This window comes from Homo sapiens, chromosome 13, assembly GCF_000001405.40.
Source record: "Homo sapiens chromosome 13, GRCh38.p14 Primary Assembly".
Taxonomy (NCBI): Eukaryota; Metazoa; Chordata; class Mammalia; order Primates; family Hominidae; genus Homo; species Homo sapiens.
The window spans coordinates 38,011,204-38,033,107 of NC_000013.11; the positions used below are offsets into that span (position 1 = coordinate 38,011,204).

Consider the following 21,904-nt stretch of genomic DNA (forward strand, 5'->3'; position numbering starts at 1 on the left):
TTTAAAAATCTTCAGGACAGAAAACAATGTCAAATATTAATTCAAATTTATAACTAAATTGTGGTATCTTATCAAAAATCTCAAATAATGACAATATGACCTAACTGACTTCTGCTTTCAGAATATTATGCTTGAAAACATCTAGTTTCTAGATAAATTATAAAAAATATTATAATTTTAAATGTCTTGCCAAACACAATATTAAGAAAACTAAGAAACAAAAGAAATTTAAAAATCAACATACTGTTAGGACAAAAAAAAACCCTTTTTTAAAAAAACATAAGAATAAGTGTTTAATCTCTTACAAATAATTCATTAGATTAAATAATGAAGGATTGTTTCTTCAAAGAAAGATTGCGTGTAAAGGAATGAAAATGCAACTGTGAGCAGAAAACCCCAAAATAAAAATTGTGTATCTATGTTTTAGCTCCAAGTTGTGGCTTAAAATAGTCTCTCCTAAGATTTTGCAATGAAGGTCTATATCACTTGAGGTTCTAATTTGTAGTATCCACAAGGTTAGAAGACCTCTATCTAAGAATTAAATTATCTAAGAATTAAAATATCTAAGAATTAAATTAAAATGTTATTTGGTACACATAGAGATAAGATTAAATATTTTCTGATGAAAATATGATGAAAACTTCTTCAAATAAAGATCCTTGAGCCAATGCTTATGCAAAATGAAATCAAATATAAGAGTTAAAAATGTATAAAAAATCAATATGAGTGAATACAGAAAAAAACTTGAGAATTTTGGAAAAAATATAAAAGATAAAAGAAAAATAATTAATTATAAATGAATTTAAAAATAAGTAATGAACTTGAAATAAAATAGTTATGAATTAAAAGGCCCCCTACCATTTCCCAGAGGAAATGTTAGTTGGAAAAAACTGCTGATTTGAAAGAGAAAAGGGGATTACTTTGTTCTTTGTGACTTTTCGAAATATAAAATATTCCTTCTCTTTTTGCAGAGTGTGTATTTGTGTCCAAGATGCATAAAGTGTTCATGTCTGAATTTCAGTCCTTTTTATTTTGACCACAGTGTCTGCTTACAGGCAGTCTGCCCATGTCACTCTGTGCTGCCCACGCGCCTGGCCACACACAGCCCAGCATGCACTGAGCCCACAGTCAGGTGATTCAGGGAAGGGGCTTCTTGGCAAAATAACTTTTCAAACTACAGAGAATACTCCACCTTTTACCTACACCTCTCAACTCAGAGGGATAGGTAATGCATAGAGTATCGACAGTAAAAAGGTACCAGCAATCTTTTAAAAACAGCTGATGAATAAAAGAGATGTGCAGAAATGACCAAAAGAATGTTATTTTGAAAGAAACAGTTTATTGATTAGATGAAAATACAAGAATAATTAGGAACCATAGAGAACTGTGATGATCGTTGCATCCACCAAACAACAGAAAGCTAATAAAAAAGCTTTCTGATTTTTATGAATTGCTTATTCATTTTCTTAACCTCTGCCAATTTTGTATTAAATATCATAATATTTGATTTTGAGTGGGGAAATGATTCATATATTCTCTTTAATGGGTTGCCTTCTTTTTACTGAATTGTGAGAGCTCATTTTATGTTCTAAATACAAGCCCCATTGTCAGGCATAGATTTTAGGAGTATTTACTCCTGGTGTGGCTTGCTGTTTGTATTTCGTAATAGTGACTGCGGAAGACTCAAAGAGTTTATTTTGATGAAATCCAATTTACTAAATGCTTCCTTTTAAAGTTTTTCTTTTTGTGTCCTATTTAAATTCTCTTTGCCAAACCCAATGTCATAAGACGGTCTCCTATGTTTTCTTCTACAAGATTTACAGTTAGGCCCTTACAATAGGTCTATTGGAATTATTTCTTATATATGGTATGAGATACATTGTGTAGTATCACATTGTAGTTTTACTTTATAAAATAATATTATTTTTCCTGTGCTTTCTGTGAACTCATATCTGTCTCTTTCTACTACTCTTGCTCTTTTTTTAAGTGCCTATCAAATCTTTTGCGCGCTATTTTTTTTTCAGTTCAGTGGTTTGTGTTATTATTGAGTTGTAGAGCTCCTTATAAATTCTGGAGACAAGATTTTGGTCATATACTTGCTTTGTGAATGTTTTTTCCAGCTGTGGCTTGCACATTTGTTTTCTTTTATAATTAATTAATTAATACTTTCTTTGAGACAAGGTCTCGCTCTATACCCCAGGTTGGAGTGCAGTGGTAAGATCACAGCTCACTGCTGCCTTGACTTCCTGGGCTCAAGTGATTCTCCTGCCTCAGTCTCCTCAGTAGCTCGGACTACAGGTATGTACCAGCACAGCTGACTAATTTTAAAAAATATTAATTTTTTAATTGACAAATAAAAGTTGTATATATTTATTGTGTACAACATGATGTTTTGAAATATGGATACATTGTGGAATGGCTAAATCAAGCTAATTAATATATGCATCACCTTGAATACTTATTTTTTTGTGTGGTGAGAACACTTAAAATCTACTCTCTTAAACAGCTTTCAAGTATACAATACATTGTTATTAACTACAGTCATCATGTTGTAAAATAGATCTCTTGAACTTAGTCCTTCTGTCTAACTGAAATGTTTTATCCTTTGACCAATCTTCCTTAACTCCCACCCCACTTCCGGCACCTGGTAACCACCACTCTCTGCTTCTATGAGTTCAGCATTTTTAGATTTCATACATAAGTGAGAATATGCCATACTGTATTTGTCTTCCTGTGTTTGTCTTATTTCACTTAACATAATGTTCTCCAGGCTTATCCATGTTGTTACAAGTGACAGAATTTCCTTCTTTCTTAGGGCTGAATAGTATTCCATTGTGTAAATATATATTTTCTTTATTCATTCATCTGTTGATGGACACTTAGGTTGGTTCCATATCTTAGCTGTTGTGAATAATGCTGAAATCAACACCAGAGGGCAGATTCCTTTGACATAGTGATTTCGTTTCCTTTGTATATATACCCAGTAGCGGGATTGCTGGATCATAGGGTAATTCTATTTTTAATTTTTCAAGGAACTTCCATACTATTTTTATTAATACCTATAGTAATTTTCATTTCTACCAACAGGGCATAAGTGTTCTATTTTATCTACATCCTCAAAAACACTTGTCTTTTGTTTTTGATCAAAGCCATTTCAACAGGTATGAAATATCTCATTGTTGTCTTAATTTGTGTTTCCCTGATGACCAATGATGTTGAACCTTTTTTCATATATCTCTTGGCTATTTGTATGGCTTTTTTTTGAGAAATATGTGTTCAGGTCCTTCACCTGTTTTTTTAAGTGGCTTCTTTTTACTCTTACAATGCAGTTGAGTTCTTTATATATTTTGGATATTAATCCCTTATCAGATGTATGTTTGTAAATATTTTTCCTGTTCTGTAGGTTGTCTCTTCACTCTGCTGATTGTTTTCTTTGCTCTCCGGCACTTACACATTGATTTTCTGATATTTTTAATGAGTACTTTTTTTTGACAAAGTCTGATTTATTGTTATATATATTATTCAAAAGTTATTGCTCTCTGTGAATTGGTGAAAAAGCTTGTCTCCCAAGTCATAAAAAATATTTCCTTCTTCTTTTCTCTAAAAGTCCTATACTCACTTCTTTTATCTTTTAGTCTACATTCTATATCTAAACAATTGTTTTGCTTAATGTAAGGTAAGGGTCAGACTTCTCTTTTTCTTTTTTTCACCATGAATATACATTTTTCTATAGCACAACGTGTTGAAAGAAAAACCTTTTCTTTCTCCCTTTAATTTGATTGTCTGTTCATAAGTCAAATGATACTATATAAATATTTATGTATGACAGTATATAAATGCGTATGTATGTTTTAACTTTCTATTTTGTTACATCAAACTTTTGTGCCAATACTTATGCCACTACTGCACTGTCTTAATTAGTGTAGCTTTATATTACCTCATGATGTCATGAGGTAATCTTCCAACTTTGGTTTATTTTTCAAGATAGCTTTGGTTATTTTAGATCTCGCATTTCCACATAAAGCATAGATTTAGCTTGTCAATGTCTATAAAAACTCTTCTAGCATTTGGATTTACATTGAATTTGTATTGAATATATGGATCAGTTTGTGTAAAGTTGATGTTTTACCAATACTGAGTCTTCCAACCCGTGAATCTTGTAAAACTCATTCTTTAGATATTTACATAGATGGTCTTTAATTTAGTGCAGCAATGTTTTGTATGTTTTAATGCAGAAGTTTTGCATATCTATTAAATTTATTCAAAGACATTTTATGTGTAAGGACAGTATTTTAAATGGCATTGTTTTTCTTCATTTTGTTTGCTGGTGGTATATATTAACCTTGTATCATGCAACCTCATTAAATAAATATATTAGTTCCATAGTTTTGTTGTAGATTCCTCAGGATTTGCTATGTAACTAATCATGACGTTTGCAAATATAAATGGTTTACTTCTTCCTTTTATATCTTTATTGTTTTTAAATCTATCTATCTGTTTTCATTGTTTTCCTTTCCTGATTTCATTGGAGAAGAGCTCCAGTGCAGTGCAGAATAGAAGTGGTAGAAATGTACATCACTTCCTTTTTCAATATTCAAATATTTATTATTTAGCTGTAGGCCTTTTGTAGCTGCCTTTTATTAGGTTGAGGAAGTCTCCTTATATTCTTTAGTTTGCTGAGAGTTTTTTATCTGTTAAATTTTGTTATATGCTTTTTTAGCATCTATTGAAATGAGAACAGTTTTTGTCTTTTATTCTCTTTTTATGGTAAAATGCAATGGTTCATTTTCAAATGTAAAACCAATCCCAAATTACTCAGATTAATGTTGATTGTTCACAGTATACTAAACTTTTTAATACTACTGTATTTGTTGGCTAGTACCTGCTAAATAATTTTGTATCTATATTAATTTAGAGATATTGGTGTATATTTTAAACTACATCTTTGTTATATTTTGGTACAGGTTGAGTATCCCTACTCTGAAATGCTTGCAACCAGAAGTGTTTTGACTTTCAAATTTTTACAGATTTTTGAATATTTGCATTATCCTTAGGTTAAGCATCCTTAATCCAAAAATCTGAAATCCAAAATGTTCCAAAGAACAGCTCCTTTGAGCATCATGTTGGTGCTCAAAAAGATTAAAATTTTGGAGAATTTTGGAGTTTGGATTTTCAAATTAGGATACTCAACCTCTATTAGAGTGATGCTGATTTCATAAAATGATTTTAGGAGGGCTCCTTCCTCTCCTGCTTCTTGGAATAGTTCATGTGATATTGGTATTTTCTTCTTGAATGTTTGGCAGAGATATCATTGAAGCCGTAAGGACATGACATCTGCTTTATTTTAATTTTATGTTTTCAAATATATATGTTTTAGTTTTTCATTGCTACATAATATTTGCACAGATTTATGAGGTACATGTGATATTTTGTTACATGCATATATAATGTGTAATGATCAAGTCACGGTCCTTAGGGTATTCATCACCTCGAATATCATTTCCACATGTTGGGAACATTTCAAGTCCTCTCTTTTAGCTATTTTAAAATACACAATCCATAGGTGTTAACTATAGTCCCCTCCTCTGATACTGAACATTAAAATATATTTTATCTAACTGTATGCTTGTTACCCATTAACCAACCTCTCTTCACCTCCACTCCACAAACTCACACATCCTGGTCAACCTCTAGTATCTATTATTTTACTATCTACCTTTATAAGATCAACTTTTTCTAGCTCCTATATATGAGTGAGAATATGTGATATTTGTTTTTCTATACCTGGCTTATTTCACCTAACATAATGACTTCCAGTTTCATTCATGTTGCTGCAAATGACATAATTTTAGTCTTTTTTGTGGACACTGTGTGTATATACCACACTTTCTTCAACACTTGGGTTGAATCTATATATTTGCTATTATGAATTGTGCTGCAATAAACATGAGGATGGAGTTATCTTTTTGACATATTCATTACTCTTTTTTGGATAAATACCCAATAGCAGGATTGCTGGATTATATGAAAGTTCTATGAATAGTTTTTGAGAAATCTGCCTACTGCTTTCCTTAGTGAATGTACTAATTTACATTCCCACCAACAGTTTATAAGAGTTCCTTTTTCTGCACATTCTCACTGGCATCTGTTATATTTGTCTTTTACGTAATAGCCATTCTAACTGGGATAATACAATTTCTTATTGTGGTTTTGATTTGCATTTCCCTAATAATTACTGATGTTGAACATTTTTTATATACCTGTTGGCCATTTGTATGTCTTCTTTTAAGAAATGCCTGTTCATGTTCTTTACCCATTTCTGATGAGATAACTTCTTTTTTCTGTTGAGTTGTTGGGTCCCTTTTTATTCTGAATATTAGTCCTTTGTTGGATGAATAGTTTGCAAATATTTTCTCCCATTCAACAGGTTGTCTCTCCACTCTGTTGGTTGCTTTCTTAGCTGTGTAGAAGTTTTTTTTACTTTAATCTGTATATTTGTATAATTTTGAATTTTCGCCTGTACTTTTGATGTTTTAGCCATAGAATCTTTGCCTAGACCAATGTCATAAAGTGTTTTATCTTATTTCCTCTAGTGGTTTTATATAATTCAGATCTTATGTTTAAGTCTTTAATCCATCTTGAGTTGATTTTTGCATATAGTGAGATATAAGGGTCTAATTTCTTTCTTCTGCATGTGGATATCTGATTTTCCCACATTTACTGAAGAGGGTATCCTTTCTGCACCGCATGTTTTTGGCACCTTTGTCAAAAATCAGTTCACTGTAAATATGTGAATTTATTTTTGGTTTCTCTATTCTGTTACATTGTTCTATGTGTCTGTTTTTATGTGAACACTAAGCTTTTTTGGTTACTATAGATCTGTAATATATTTTGAAGTCAGTGAGATCCTTCCAGCTTTGTTCTTTTTGGTCAGGATTTCTTTGGCTATTTGGACCCGTTTTGGTTCCATACAAATTTCAAGATAGTTCTATTTCTGGGAAAAAATGACATTGGTATTTTGATAGGGAGTGTACTAAATCTGTAGTTTTCATTGTTATTATTGCCATTTTAATAACGTTAATTCCTCTGATCCATGAGTACAGGGTGTCTTTCCATTTGTGTCCTCTTCAACTATTTTTATTTTTCAGACTTTTGCTGTTTTTCTTGTAGAGACCTTTCACCTCTTTAGTTAAATTTATTCCTAGGTATTTGTATATGTGTGTCGATTGTAAATGGAATTGCTTTCTTGATATTTTTTCTCAGCTATTTCATTAAGGTATATAGAAACAATACTAAATTTTGTTTTTTAAGCTTCTTCTTTATTTTATTTTTAGCTTTTAAGTTCAAGGGTATATATGCAGGTTTGTTGCATAGGTAAACTTGTGTCATGGGAGTTTTTTGTACAGATTATTTCATTATCCAGGTATTAAGCCTAGTATCCATTAGTTATTTTTCCTGATCCTCTCCTTCCTCCCACCCTTCACCCTCTGACAGGCCCCAGTGTGAGTTGCTCCCTTCTATGAGAAACAGTACTGAGTTTTCTATGTTGATTTTTGTATCATGAAACCTTACCAAATTTGTTTGTCAAATCTAGGAGTTTTTTGGTGGAGTCTTTAGATTTTTCTAGATATGAGATTTTTGTCACCTGCAAAAAGGGACAATTTGACTTCCCATCTTCCAATTCAGATGCCTTTTATTTTCTTGCCTGATTGCTCAAGCTAGGATTTTCAGTGCTGTGTTGAGTAGAAGTGGTGAAAATGGACATCTTTATGTTGTCTGAGTTCTGAAATGAGAGACTTTCAGCTGACCGGGCGCGGTGGCTCATGCCTGTAATCCCAGCACTTTGGGAGGCCCAGGAGGGCAGATCACGAGGTCAGGAGATCAAGACCATCCTGGCTAACACGGTGAAACCCCATCTCTACTACAAAATACAAAAAATTAGCCAGGCGTGGTGGCGGGCGCCTGTAGTCCCAGCTACTCAGGAGGCTGAGGCAGGAGAATGGCATGAACCCGGGAGGCGGAGTTTGCAGTGAGCCGAGATCGCACGACTGCACTCCAGCCTGGGCGACAGAGCGAGACTCTGTCTCAAAAAATAAATAAATAAATAAATAAATAAATAAATAAATAGAAAAAGAGACTTTCAGCTTTTCCCCATTCGATATGATGTTAGCAGTGGATTTATCATATATAGCCTTAATTATGTTGAAGTATGTTTCTTCTAGTTTCTTGATAGTTTTTAATGTGAAAGGATGTTGAATTTTGTCAAATGCTTTCTTTGGGCATGTTGATATGTTCATATGATTTATGTCCTTCATTCTGTTGTTGTGACGTATCATGTTTATTGATTTGCATAGGTCGAATCATCCTTGTATCCCTGGGATAAATTCTACGTGATCATACTGTGCTATCTATTTGATGTGCTGCTGGATTTGGCTTTCTCATATTTTATTGAGGATTTTCGTGTCTATATTGATCAGGAATATTAGCCTGTAATTTTTGTTGTTGTTGTATTTTTGTCTGGTTTTGGTATCAGGGTAATGCTGGCCTCTTAGAATAAGTTAGGGAGAATTCCATCCTCCATATGTTTTCAAAAATACTTTGAGGAGAATTGGTGTTAGTTTTTCTTTGAAAGTCTGGTAGAATTTGGCAGCCATTCGATCCTGGACTTTTATTTGTCGGGACACTTTTATAGCTGATTCAATATCATTACTCATAATTCGGTTCAGGTTTTCTGTTTCTTCTTGCTTTAATCTTGGTAGGTTGTATATATCCAGGAATTTATCAATTTCCTGTAGTTTTTTCAGTTTATTAGTGTGTAGTTGTTCATAATAGTCCCTGATAATCTTTTGTATTTCTGTGGCATCAGTTATAATGTCTCATTTTTCATTTCTGATATTGTTTGAGTCTTTATTTTTGGTTAGTATAGCTAGCAGTTTATCGACTTTATGTAATTTTTTTAAAAACCCCAAATTTTCATTTGTTGATAATTTGTGTTGCTTCTTAGTCTCTATTGCATTTAGTTCTGCTCTGGTCTTTATTATTTCTTTCCTTCTTTTAACTTTGGCTTTGTTTTTTTCTTGTTTTGTAGTTTCTTGAGAAGAACTGTAAGATTATGTAAAATGTTTCTACTTTTTCGATGTAGGCATTTATTGCTATAAGCATTACTTTAAATGCTGCTTTTTGCTGTATCCCATTGGGTTTGGTATGTTGTATTTTGGTTTTCATTTGTTTCAAAAATGTTTTAAAAATTTTCTCCTTAATTTCTTCCTTGACCCAATGATCATATAGGAAGATGTTATTTAATTTCCATATATTCGTATAGTTTCCAAAGTTTCCCTTGTTACTGATGTCTTGTTATTGATGTCCTCTTATTATGGATGTTTTATTATATTGCGGTCTGAAAAGAACTTGTGATTTTGATTTTTAAAAACTTGTTGAGACTTGTTTTGTCTTCTAAAATGTAAACTATCTGAAGAATGTTCCATGTGATGGAACATGTATTATGTAGCTGTTAAATGAAGTGCTCTGTACCTGTTAGGTCCTTTGGGGCAGTTTAAATCCAATATTTCTTTGTTAATTTTCTGTCTAAATGATCTGTCTAACGCTGAGAGTTGTGTGGTGAAGCCCCCAAATACATATAGTACAAGAGTCTATCACTCCCTTTGGATCTAATATTTGCTTTACATATCTGGGTGCTCCAGTGTTGGGTTCATGTATGGTTAGAATTGTATCCTCTTGCTGAACTGATGTCTAACATTATATATGACCTTCTTTGTCTCTTTTTACTGTTTTTGACTTAAAGTCTGTTTTATCTGATATAAGTGTAGCTACTCCTACTCACTTTTGGTTTCTCTTAGCATGGAATATCTTTTTCCATTCCTTTAATTTTATTCTACATGTGTCTTTGCAGCCACGATGAGTGTCTTATAGGCAGCATATAGTTGGGTCATATTATTTTCTTTTATCCATTCAGCCAGTCTATATCTTCGAAGTGGGCAGTTTAATCCATTTACATTCAAGGTTCTTATTGATATGTGAGGGCTTATTCTTACCATTTCATTAATTGATACCTGGTTGTTTTCTTCACCCCTGGTTGTCCTTTTGTTCATTTCTTTTTTATTGTTTATTTTTTTGGTGTGGTGTTTTTCTGTGCTGGTAACATTTGAGACCTTTATCTTCCTCATTTGTGTCTTTTTTTCTACCAGTGGGGTTTTATACTTTTATGTGTTTTTGTGATACAGACATACTCCTTTTAATTCCACATGTACAGATCCCTCAAGCATTTCTTGTGGGTCCAGTCTAGTGGTGATGAATTACTTCAGCTTTTGCTTGTCAGAGAAAAACTTTATTTGTCCTTCATTTATAAAAAGTAGCTTTGCTGGGTATAGTATCCCTTGCTGGCAGTTTTCTTCTTTCAGCACTTTGAATATATTATTTAATTCTCCCGTGGCCTATAAATTTTCTACTGAGAAACTCACTTAGTCTGATGGGGGTTCCATTATAAGTGACTATATAGTTTTTCTTGTAGAATTTACAAAAGAATTCTCACTTTGTCTTTCACTTTTGATAGTTTGACTACAATGTGCTGTAAAGAACAACTTTTTATATTATATCAGTTTGGGGATCTCTGAGCTTCCTGTATCTGAATGTCTAAATCTCTTGTTAGACTTGAGAAATGTTAAAATTAATGTTTTCTCCAACGTTTGTTTCCTTTCTGCCTTCTGGGACTCTGAAAATTTAAATATTTGGTTACTTTATGTTGTTCCTTATGTCACATAGACACTGTTCCTCCTTTTTTATTCCTCTTAATATTTGTCTAATTCAATTATTTCGAAAGAACGTGTGCTCCTTCTCTGGAGTAATGCTGTTGCTCAGTCTTCAGGCAGTGCTCCGTCTTAGTTTCAAAACCTATGTGGATCATAAGTTGAGGAGCTCTTCCATGGCTTGGATTGCAGGGGTCTGTGGTGGGAATGTAGACTGCTGTGGGAGTCACTCATTTACCCTTTCTGCACACTGGTGAGTCTTTTCAGTCTCCCAGCCAATACAGCTGGAGTAGACTGGCTTATTTCCCTTTCCTTTTTCACCTTAGGTGTTTCCTGTCATTCCTTTGTTGAATTCCAGCATTTTTTTTAGGTGGTGTATTCAAAGTGTTATTATCTATTAATTATTTGGTTTGTCTTTGCAGAGGAGGCTACTACCAGATGTCTGTAGTCAGCCATCTTGAAGCGCCTCCCCTCTCAAGTTTACTTTATTGAAAGGACTTTGTAACACATTCAATTTCCTTAAGAGACACAGGGATACTTTCATTTTCTCACTAATATTGTGTCAGTTTTGCATGTTGTGTTTTTAAGAATTTTTTTCATCTAAGTTGTTAAATTCATTGTCCAAAAATTATTTTTCAAATTTTTTAATAATCATTTTAATGCCTGTGCTATTTTTTATAATGTTCCTTCCTTTCATTAATAAAACTGGTAATTTGTGATCTATCCAGCTATGAGCTTATCAATTTTATTGTTCTTTCATGGAACCACATTTCTTAATTTTCTTTATTCTTATTTTATTTTTTCTATGTATTTAGGGTTTGCTTTGCATTTGAGTGTTTAAATCTATCTACATTTATTACAAAGCACTGCTTTGTTGTACCTTAGAAAGTTTGAGACTACATTTTTAATATTATTTAATTAAAAATATTTTCTAGTTTCTCTTCTGCTTCACTTATTTCCTTATATATTATTTAGAAATATCTTGTTTACTTTTGATATTAAATTTCTTAATTAAAAAATCTTTTCTCCACCAGCCGCAGTGGCTCACGCCTGTAATACCAGCACTTTGAGAGGCTGAGGCAGGCAGATCACTTGAGGTCAGGAGTTTGAGACCAGCCTGGCCACCATAGTAAAACCCTGTCTCTACTACAAACACAAAAATTAGCTGGGTGTGGTGGCACACATCTGTAGTCCCAGCTACTCGAGAGGCTGAGGCAGAAGAATCTCTTGAACCTGGGAGGTGGAGATTAAAGTGAGCCGAGATTGTACCAGTGCACTCCAGCCTGAGTGACAGAATGAGACTCGTCTCAAAAAAAAAAAAAAAAAAAACACTTTTCTCTAGCTTCCTGAGTTGAATATATAATTTATTTTTTATTTTTAATGGTTAATAAGTAATTGCCTTAGAATTTAATAATAAATTATTCTTGAAAACATTGGCTAGTTTAGAAATTACACTTGAAACCAACCTATATTGCAGTCATTTTATAGCTCTTAATCATAACTAGTACTGACATCTCATAAAAACCTTAAAGGTATTTGTCATAATTATGTACAAAACCTATTAGTTTGAAATAATAAAATTATAAATTCAGTATGTTATCCACTGGGTAAAAAAGAGAAGCTGCATAATTAATTGTATGCACAATATTTTAAGCATCATTTGTCATGCTATTTTATGGAAAATGTTCATTAAAGCTACTGGCTTGCCCTAGTTATAAACTATCTGCTGTTTATGATTTATTTTATCTCTCCCGTCCCCCCACTCTTTTATTTGCTTCTCAGCCTTTACATCACTTAAATACTCAGTGATTACTGTCATCATCAACTCCTTTTCTTCCAATATGTTGATTTAATTTAGCTTGTGCAGTTCCCAGCTGCATGGTTATTGATAAAATTTTGAAAAAAACAAGGATAGGTTTATTTTAGTACTATACAACTGGTAGACACTTTGGAATTTTAAGCTTTTTTGACAACGAACTGCCAACAATCTTATTTTTCAACAAGCATTCACATTTCCTCTTCCAAGAATATCTTTAATATTCTAAAACTCACATAGCTGGTATTTTTTCTAGAAAATTTACTTTTAGGGTTAAAAAAAGCATTAAAAACTCTGCTGCATCATATTCATTATTTAATAGCAGCAGATATTTGTCAGCTATACAACAGAATAACTTGTTAACTTTTAATGTGTTAATTGCTTCTATTTTCATATTTTCTTGGAGTATTACTAGCAATAACTTACTAATTTATGGGTTTTAAAATTATATATGGATTATTTCATCATTCCACTAATCCAAAGAGGTAACCAAGGGAGGATATTATTCATGCTTTATAGGTGAAGAAAAAAATAGCAAGCTTAACAGAATGAGTTGTTGAATTAAAAAAACTAATTTTTCTGATTTATATGATATTAGAAATATCATTATTCATCAATATTAAAATAAAATAATTATTTGGTATTGTTCGCTTTTTAAAGTACATTTTATGGTGTTCAAAGCTTGGAGGCAGTTAAAGAAAGGATTAGAAGAAAGGATCACATAAATTTGGAATTCAGAAATCCTTAGATTTCACTCTAATCAACATTTTAATCTCGCTGAAGGGTTTTTCTTTTTATTCAAACAAATAAGAAAGTGTGTCAGCCAAGTGAGTCATGCATAACACTTTATGTTGCCTTCATTTACTAGTAGAAAGCCACATTTGGACAAGCTTTGCCAGCATCAATAATAGAAAGCCCACACAAAAGTATATAACAGACAAACACTAAAATCAAGATCTTATGTAGAATCCTGAAGTGTATGTATTTTACATTTTCTCAAATATTTAAAAAAGTAAAATGCATTTTAAAATATTTCTTAAATACAATTAAAAATACATTTTAAAATATTTCTTATTTAAAAATAAATAAGAAAAAATACATATAGAAAATAGAAATGATAAAAAGAAAAAAAATGAAAGTTACCATTGTACAATCACCTTGTATTTTCCTGGCATATTATTAAAATCATAGTAATAAATACTAAACAATAATTAAATCTTTACTTAATCCTGGCAAAACCAACACATGGTTGCATGCTTACTTTATAGTTGATGATAAAACAAAATTTCCTGGAGTTTAAGTAAAGGTCACATTATTAATAAGTGATGGAATCAGGATTTAAAAGAAATTATTTTTGTCTCTAACACCAATGATGGTTACACTATATGGTATGGGAAAGAGAAGAGGAGGAATGAAATGGAAAGAAAGACAAAGGATATAACTAAAACCTCAGGTGCAGTGCTAGCCAACTTCACATATAGTATCTCATTAGTTATCTGTTCCATTTATTTTTAAGAGTATAAAACTGAGATTCAGAAATGAATAATCATGTTCTAGATCAAACAATTGGCAAAGGGTAGAGCTAGTATTTCTAATCTTACACCTTAAGTCTTTTTCTCCTAAGTTCAAGACCCACTATCCAACTATTAAAACTCTACAGTGCCTCAGGTGGCGCAAAATAAATATGTCCTTAATCATCTCATTATCTGTAATTGTTTTCCATCATGGTTGTTTTCTCTTGCTTAATGAATACTATTATCTATCTAATAATAATAAATATGAGGCCCAGGTAGATTATCTGCCAATACATTTTAATACTACATTTTCAGAATGCCATATTGCATGAGATGATATAAATATATAAATCCATGTCTCTCTTACTTACCATAAACTATACCTTATTTATCTATTAACAGAAGAAAATAGATAGAAATCTATAATCATTATACTTTAAAGAAATAACAGCAAAAACAATAGCTAGAATTTACAACTTGTTTGATATGTGTCAGATACTGTTGTATGCACTTTAAGATTTCTTTTATTTTTAATTTTTGTGTGTCCATAGTAAGCATATATATTTATGGGATACATGAGATATTTTGATACAGGTATGCAATGTGTCATAATCACATCATGGAAAATGAGTACCCATCCCTTCAAGCATTTATCCTTTGCATTACAAACAATCCAATTAAACTCTTTTAGTTATTTTTTAATATATAGTTTATTATTGACTACAGTCATCCTGTTTTGCTATCAAATCTTAGGTTTCACTCATTCTTTCTGTTTTTTTTTTTTTTTGTATCCATCAACCATCCCTACCACCTCCCAAACCCCCTACTATCCTTCTCAGCCTCTGGACAGCATCCTTCTACTCTTTATGTCCCTGGGTTCAATTGCTTTGATTTTTACATCCCAAAATAAGTGAGAACATGTGATGTTTGTCTTTCTGTGCCTGGCTTATTTCATTTAACATCTAGTTACATTCATGTTGTTACAAATGACTGGATCTCATTCTTTTTTTGCGGTGAACTAGTCCTCCATTGTGTATATTTACCACATTTTCTTTATATGTTCATCTGTTGATGGACACTTAGGTTGCTTCCAAATCTTAGCTATTATAAACAGTGCTACAACAAACATGGGAGTGCAGATACCTCTGTGATATACTGATTTTTCTTTTGGGTATATACCCAGCAGTGGGATTGTTGGATCATATGGCAGCTCTATATTTAGTTTTTTGAGGAACCTCCAAACTGTTCTCCGTAGTGGTTGTTTTAATTTACATTCCCACCAACAGTGTATGGGGGTTCCCTTTTCTCTCCATCCTTGCCCGCATTTGTCTTGGCTCATCTTTTGGATATAAGTCATTTTAACTGGGGTCAGATATCTCATTGTAGTTGTGATTGAATTTCTCTGATGACTAGTGAGGTTGAGCACCTTTTCATATGCCTGTTTGTCATTTGTGTGTGTTCTTCTAAGAAATGTCTATTTGAATCTTTTGCCCATGTTTTATCTAATTATTAGATGTTTACCTATAGCATTGTTTGAGCTCTTTATATACCCTGGTTATTAATCCCTTGTCAGATGGGTAGTTTGCGAATATTTTCTTCCATTCTGTGGGTTGTTTCTTCACTTTGTTGATTGTATCCTTTGCTGTGCAGAAGCTTTTCAACTTGATGTGATCCCATCTGTTTATTTTTCCTTTGGTTCCCTGTGCTCGTGGGGTATTGCTCAAGAAATGTTTGCCCAGACAAATGTCCTGGAAACTTTCCTCAATGTTTCCTTTCTCTCTCTCTTTCTTTTTTTTTTTAATATTTCTTGTGAAGGTCTTGCTCTGTTGCCCAGGCAGGAGTGCAGTGGCAGGATCATAGCTCACCGCAGCATTGACCTCCCAGGCTGAAGCAACCCTCCCTCCTCAGCCTTCTGAGTAGCTGGGACTACAGTCACATGCCATCATGCCCAACTAATTTTTGTATTTTTTGTAGAGACCAAATCTCACCACATTGCCCAGGCTGATCTTGAACTCCTAGGTTCAAGGAATTCTGCCTCTGCCTCCCAAAGTGCTGGAACTGCAGGCAGGAGCCTCCATGCCTGACCCTCCCAATGTTTTCTTGTAGTAGCTTCATAGTTTGAGGTCTTAGGTTTAAGTTTTCAATTCATTTTGATTTGATTTTTGTACATGGTGAGGGATAGGGATCTAGTGTCATTCTTTTTCTTATGGATATCAAGTTTTCCCAGCACCATTTATTGAAAAGACTGTCTTTTTCCCAGTGTATGTTCTTGGTACTCCTGTCAAAAATGAGTTTATGGTAGGTGTGTGGATTTGTTTCTGGGTTCTCTATCTGTTCCATTGGTCTGTGTTTCTGTTTTTATGCCAGTATCATGCTGTTCTGTTTACTATAGCTCTGTAGTATAAGTTGAAATCAGGTAATGTGACTCCTCTAGTTTTGTTCTTTTTGCTTAGGATAGCATTGGCCATTTGAGAATTTGGGATTCCATATACATTTTAGGATTTTTTTTCTATTTCTGTGAAGAATGCCATTGGTATTTTGATAGGGATTGAATTAAATCTTTAGACTGCTTTGGTAGACTGCTAATCCATGAACATGGAATCTCTGTTAATTTTTTGGTGTCCTCTTCAATTTCTTTCATCACTGTTTTATAGTTTTCATTACAGAGATCTTTCACCCTTTGTTTTAAATGACTTCTAGGTATTTAATTTTAATTATGGCTATTGTAAATAGGATTATGTTTTTTATTTCTTTTTCAGATCACTGTTGGCATACAGAAATGCTACTGATTTGTATATGTTGATTTTGTATCCTGCAAATTTACTGAATATGTTTATCAGCTCCAATATTTTCTTATGAAGTCTTTAGGTTTTTCCAAATATAAGATCATATCATTTCCAAACAAGGGTAATTTGACTTCTTCCTTTTCAGTTTGGATGTCTTTATTTCTTTCTCTTGTCTGATTCCTCTAAATAGAAATTCCAGTACTATGTTGAATAACAGTTAAAAGTGGGCATCTTTGTCATGTTCCAGATCTTAGAAGAAAGGCTTTCAGTTTCTTTCCATTCAGTATGATGCCAGCTGTGGGTCTGTCGTAAGTGGATTTTATTATGTTGAAATATTTTCCTTTTATACCCAGTTTTTGAGATATTGAATTTTATCCAATGTTATTTCAGCACCAATTGAAATAATCATATGGTTTTTATCCTTCATTCTGGTGATATGATGTATCACATTGATTGATTTATGTATGTTGAACCATCCTTGTATCATAGATATAAATCCCACTTGGTCATGGTAAATGACCTTTCTAATATGTTTATGAATTCAGTTTGCTAGTATTTTGTTGAGGATTTTTGCATCAGTACTTATCAGATATATTTGCCTGTAGTTTTCCTTCTTCATGTTTGTCTACTTTTGGTATCAGGATAATACTGGCCTTATAGAATGAATTTGGAGGTATTCCTTCCTCCTCTATTTTTCCAAATACTTTGAGTAGGATTGCCATCAGTTCTTACAACCATGGGGAAAGCGAACAGGAAGGAGGCATGTCTTATATGGCAGTATCAGGAGAAAGAGAGAGACACACTTTTAAACAGCCAGATCTCTTGAGAACTCAGTCACTATCACAGGACAGCAATGGGGAAATCCACCCCCATGATCCAGTCACCTCCCACCAGGCCCTTCCTCCAACATTGAGGATTAAAATTTGACATGAGATTTGAGTGGAGACTTGAATCCAAACCATATCACAGAGTTTTAACCAAACATACTGGTCAGGTCAAAAGTACTTAAATTCAGCATGGGGCATACTGTAGAAGGTTCATCGCAATCCAAAGTTCAGCTGCATAGCTGTATATCCCATGAGAATGTTAACTCCATGAAAGCAGAACATGTATCTACATTATTTTTTACCATCTTTCTAATGTCTAGAACAGTGCTTGGTGAAAAGTGTCTTTCAAATCAATATTTCATACTTTTTTCAATAGCTGACTATTTAATTATGTAACCACTGGTAGAAAGTATTTCACATGCCATGCTCTTGTTTGTGATCAAACAGACAAAATAAACAAAAAAAGAAATTATTTTACAAGAATAAATTTGCCAGTTATTTTCTAGTCTCCACATTCTCTTTGAGAAAAGTTGTTCTGAAAGCAGATGGGAATAATCGTTAAATGTGAAGCCCTCAATTGTATCCTACCCACTATTTCCTCTTTTCTCCTTCTTTTAGTGACAGCTGGCACTGAGACAAGCTCATCAAATAATAAACATATTTGTACCTAAAGTTACATACAAATGTTGGACTATATGGTATAAACATTTAATAATGATATCTTTTTGTCTTTGTACAGCTTGCAAATGGATCTTACAGACGTTGTCACAGAGACAAGAAAAGTAAGGTGCTGTCTTCTCCAATCTTTTAAAAAAAAATTTAGGTGACAGTAACTACTATGTACTGGTGTAATTACCTTAGAAGAAAACAACAAATTAAATATCAGTCAGAGTAGTTATTAGTCCCAGGAGCAAAGCTGCTCAGTTCACACAATTCTGAAAGGGTAGAGGGGAAGGATGCAGAGACCCACAGGGGAACATATAGTTCCCCTGCATTCCCATAGCATTTCCAGCTGCATTCCTGGGTACGTGGGAGATACAGCATGATATGTGTTCTTAGTTGAAATAAACCAGGTAATACCCCAGGCACCCCATAACCTAAAGTACCGGTAGACTGGTATCTGGCCAGAGGCTCAAGTAAACTTAAGAACATGGGAGAGATGGGAGCAATTTTATTCCTTTCTCTACACATTGAAGGGTATTGAAACACTCAGGTTGAAAATCAGAGATCAAATATATGAATATGTATATGGAAACAGACATAATGGCTATTGAGAGTTTTAAAACAGAATCTATTCTGCATTAATAATTTATAGATGTTACTATAAATATACTAGTAGTAATAATAATTATGAGCTGTAAAGTCCATATGTAAATATTGTCTTATAAGCTAACATACAATATACTGCAAGATAAAGTTGGTAATTAGCCCTCTATATTCCTAGATTTTACTTATATTTATAAAAAGATACTTTATTGTGGTTTTTGTTTTGTTTTGGTTTTGAGATGAAATTTCACTCTTGTTGCCCAGGCTGGAGTGCACTGCAACCTTCACCTCCCAGGTTCAAGTGATTCTCCTGCCCCAGCCCTCTGAGTAGCTGGGATTACAGGCATGTGCCACCAGGCCTGGCTAATTTTGTATTTTTAGTAGAGACGAGATTGCTCCATGTTGGTCAGGCTCATCTCAAACTCCCTACCCCAGGTGATCTGCCCGCCTCGGCCTCCCAGAGTGCTGGGATTACAGGCGTGAGCCACTGCGCCTGGCCCTGTTGTGTTTTAATATTATTCCACGGTCCACCCTTTTCCCAGAGTCCCACCTCCACCCCCGACACATACATTATATAGTTCATGGTAATTTCTATGTTGTATGTTTTGAAACAGACAGATGAGAAATCAATTTCAAACTTAGTTATTATGGTCTTTTAGCTGACAAACATTGCACTGCTTATGCTTTCTTTATCTGGAATTTAAATTCAACTGCTTCTAATTAAAAGTAAAAATCCAGTAACTTTAGTTTCTTATTAGGCTTATTTTATGCCCCATAAATGCATTTAAATGATATTATCACAAGTTCACTTTCCTTCTTCAACACATTTTTAAAATAAGGTGATGAAAATATCTTCCACAGTAAGATTTATTTTGAACATATGATTCATAAAAATTTATAAAGGATTTTCTTTCCTTCCTTTTTCCTTGTATCTGACTTCTAAGAACATCTATTTTATGTCTTCTTACAATATGGAATCAGAATGTAAGGTAATTATTTCCAAATTTTGAAGTACATCACTATATTTCCCAGAAGTGAGATTATTAAAAATGTGATTTTCATGTAGTTAAGCAGTAGAAAAAAACAGAACTAATCAACCTTTTTAATTCAGAATACTTGTAGGCCTTGCCTGTTATAACAATTATTTGATGTTTTTTCCTCATTGAGATACCTATCACTGGAATATTTTACCTAAATTTGTTCTAGTGAGATAAGTCATGCACTAAGGAATTTGGGAAGAAACAATTGATTTCCTTGCCATTTGATTTAAAACAAACCCTTGAATATGACTGAGCAATTCTGCACTAAAGAACATATGAAAAGACCAGGGAGGGGATTGTCACAAATATCTGCATTTGCCAAGTTAGAACTATGCTAAGAATATTAACTCTATTAATTCATTTGATCTCCAAATCAGTCCTGAAAATTGAATGGATTTGCCCATTTTACAACACAAAATTAAGGCTTAGATTATTTCATACCTTCTCTAAGGTCAAGTGGTTAGTAAAGCATAGCTGTAATTCAAGTACAAGTTCTGACAGTCCCAGAACACTTTCTACCAGGCCATAGCCATCTGCTCATATGAATTGCTAACATATCCCTGGGAACTAGGACTATTAAAGTAGAGTTGCTTAAAGTATTTTGCTTTCCAAAATTAACTGACAGGATAGAATCATTTTTGTATTAGACTGTAAATGCAAATGTCTTTTCCAAATCATATACCACCAACAGGAAGCCTGCAGAAATTAATAATTGTGCCAGCTATCAGTCTTTTCATGCATAAAATTCAAAATTTTTTACTCTGCCTACAGATGAAATGTCATTTTATAAAGAGCTAATAACATGTAGCTACAAGTTTGCCTGTCAACACCAGTGAGCCAATAGCAGTCTGCAAAAGTTAAAATTGAGTACATTAAAATCATTTGAACATAGCATGAAACTACATAGTTTATTTAAACTGTGCTAAATATCAATGCAATGTAGTTTTACAATGAACCAGTGGCTTTTGAAGTGACAAAATTATGGATAATTTGAATAGTATTAGAGCTTTTCCTGATATACCTAATTACATAGGTAAGAATACTGAGGGCCAGAGAGGGAAGCAAATTGCTCCTGCCCAGATGGAAGTGGAGTTAATATGCAACCCCTTTTTCTTTCACTTTTAGCCATAAGATATATATATATATATATATATTTTTTTTTTGAGACGGAGTCTCATTCTGTCGCCCAGGCGGGAGTGCTGTGGCGCGATCTCCGCTCACTGCAAGCTCCGCCTCCCGGGTTCACGCCATTCTCCTGCCTCAGCCTCCCGAGTAGCTGGGACTACAGGCGCCCGCCACTGCGCCCGGCTAATTTTTTGTATTTTTAGTAGAGACGGGGTTTCACCGTGGTCTCGATCTCCTGACCTCGTGATCCGCCCGCCTCGGCCTCCCAAAGTGCTGGGATTACAGGCGTGAGCCACCGCGCCCGGCCGCCATAAGATATTTTAGTAATTCGTTTTTAATTCCCACTCTGTGTCTGAAGCTGTCCAAGGATTATTCATTTATTTAAGTCTATTATGACTCTTTCTAGAAAATAATTGATATAGCTTATAAATTTTAAAGGATGGAATGAACTTTAAGAATAGGAATAAAAGAAATAAAAACAAGGCCAGGCATGGTGGGGCACATCTATACTCCCAGCTACTGGGGAGGCTGAGGGAGGAGGATTGCTCAAGCCCAGGAGTTTGAAGCTGCAGTGAGACATGATCATGGTACTATACTCCAGCTTGGGCTACAGAGTGAGACCCTATCTCTGAAAACAAAACAAAACTAAAAAAATAAAACAAGGATTGAGTTAAGATCAAATAGATCTAGAAATGAGGCAACAAAAACACGAAAACATACATATATTACTTTAAATTAGCTTTCAGTTTGGCTCTAAGCTTTGTAGC

At 33.5% G+C, this 21,904-nt stretch overlaps 1 long non-coding RNA gene across 2 annotated transcripts in view; it reads left to right on the forward strand.

Annotated features, from left to right (window-relative positions):
* LINC02334 (long intergenic non-protein coding RNA 2334) overlaps positions 1-21,904 on the forward strand; it is a 131,124-nt gene that overhangs the window by 76,756 nt on the left and 32,464 nt on the right. For both annotated transcript variants that reach the window (XR_941880.4, XR_941877.3), the window contains exon 3: positions 18,446-18,488. This is a non-coding gene — a long non-coding RNA (long intergenic non-protein coding RNA 2334). The remainder of the gene's footprint in view (positions 1-18,445; positions 18,489-21,904) is intronic.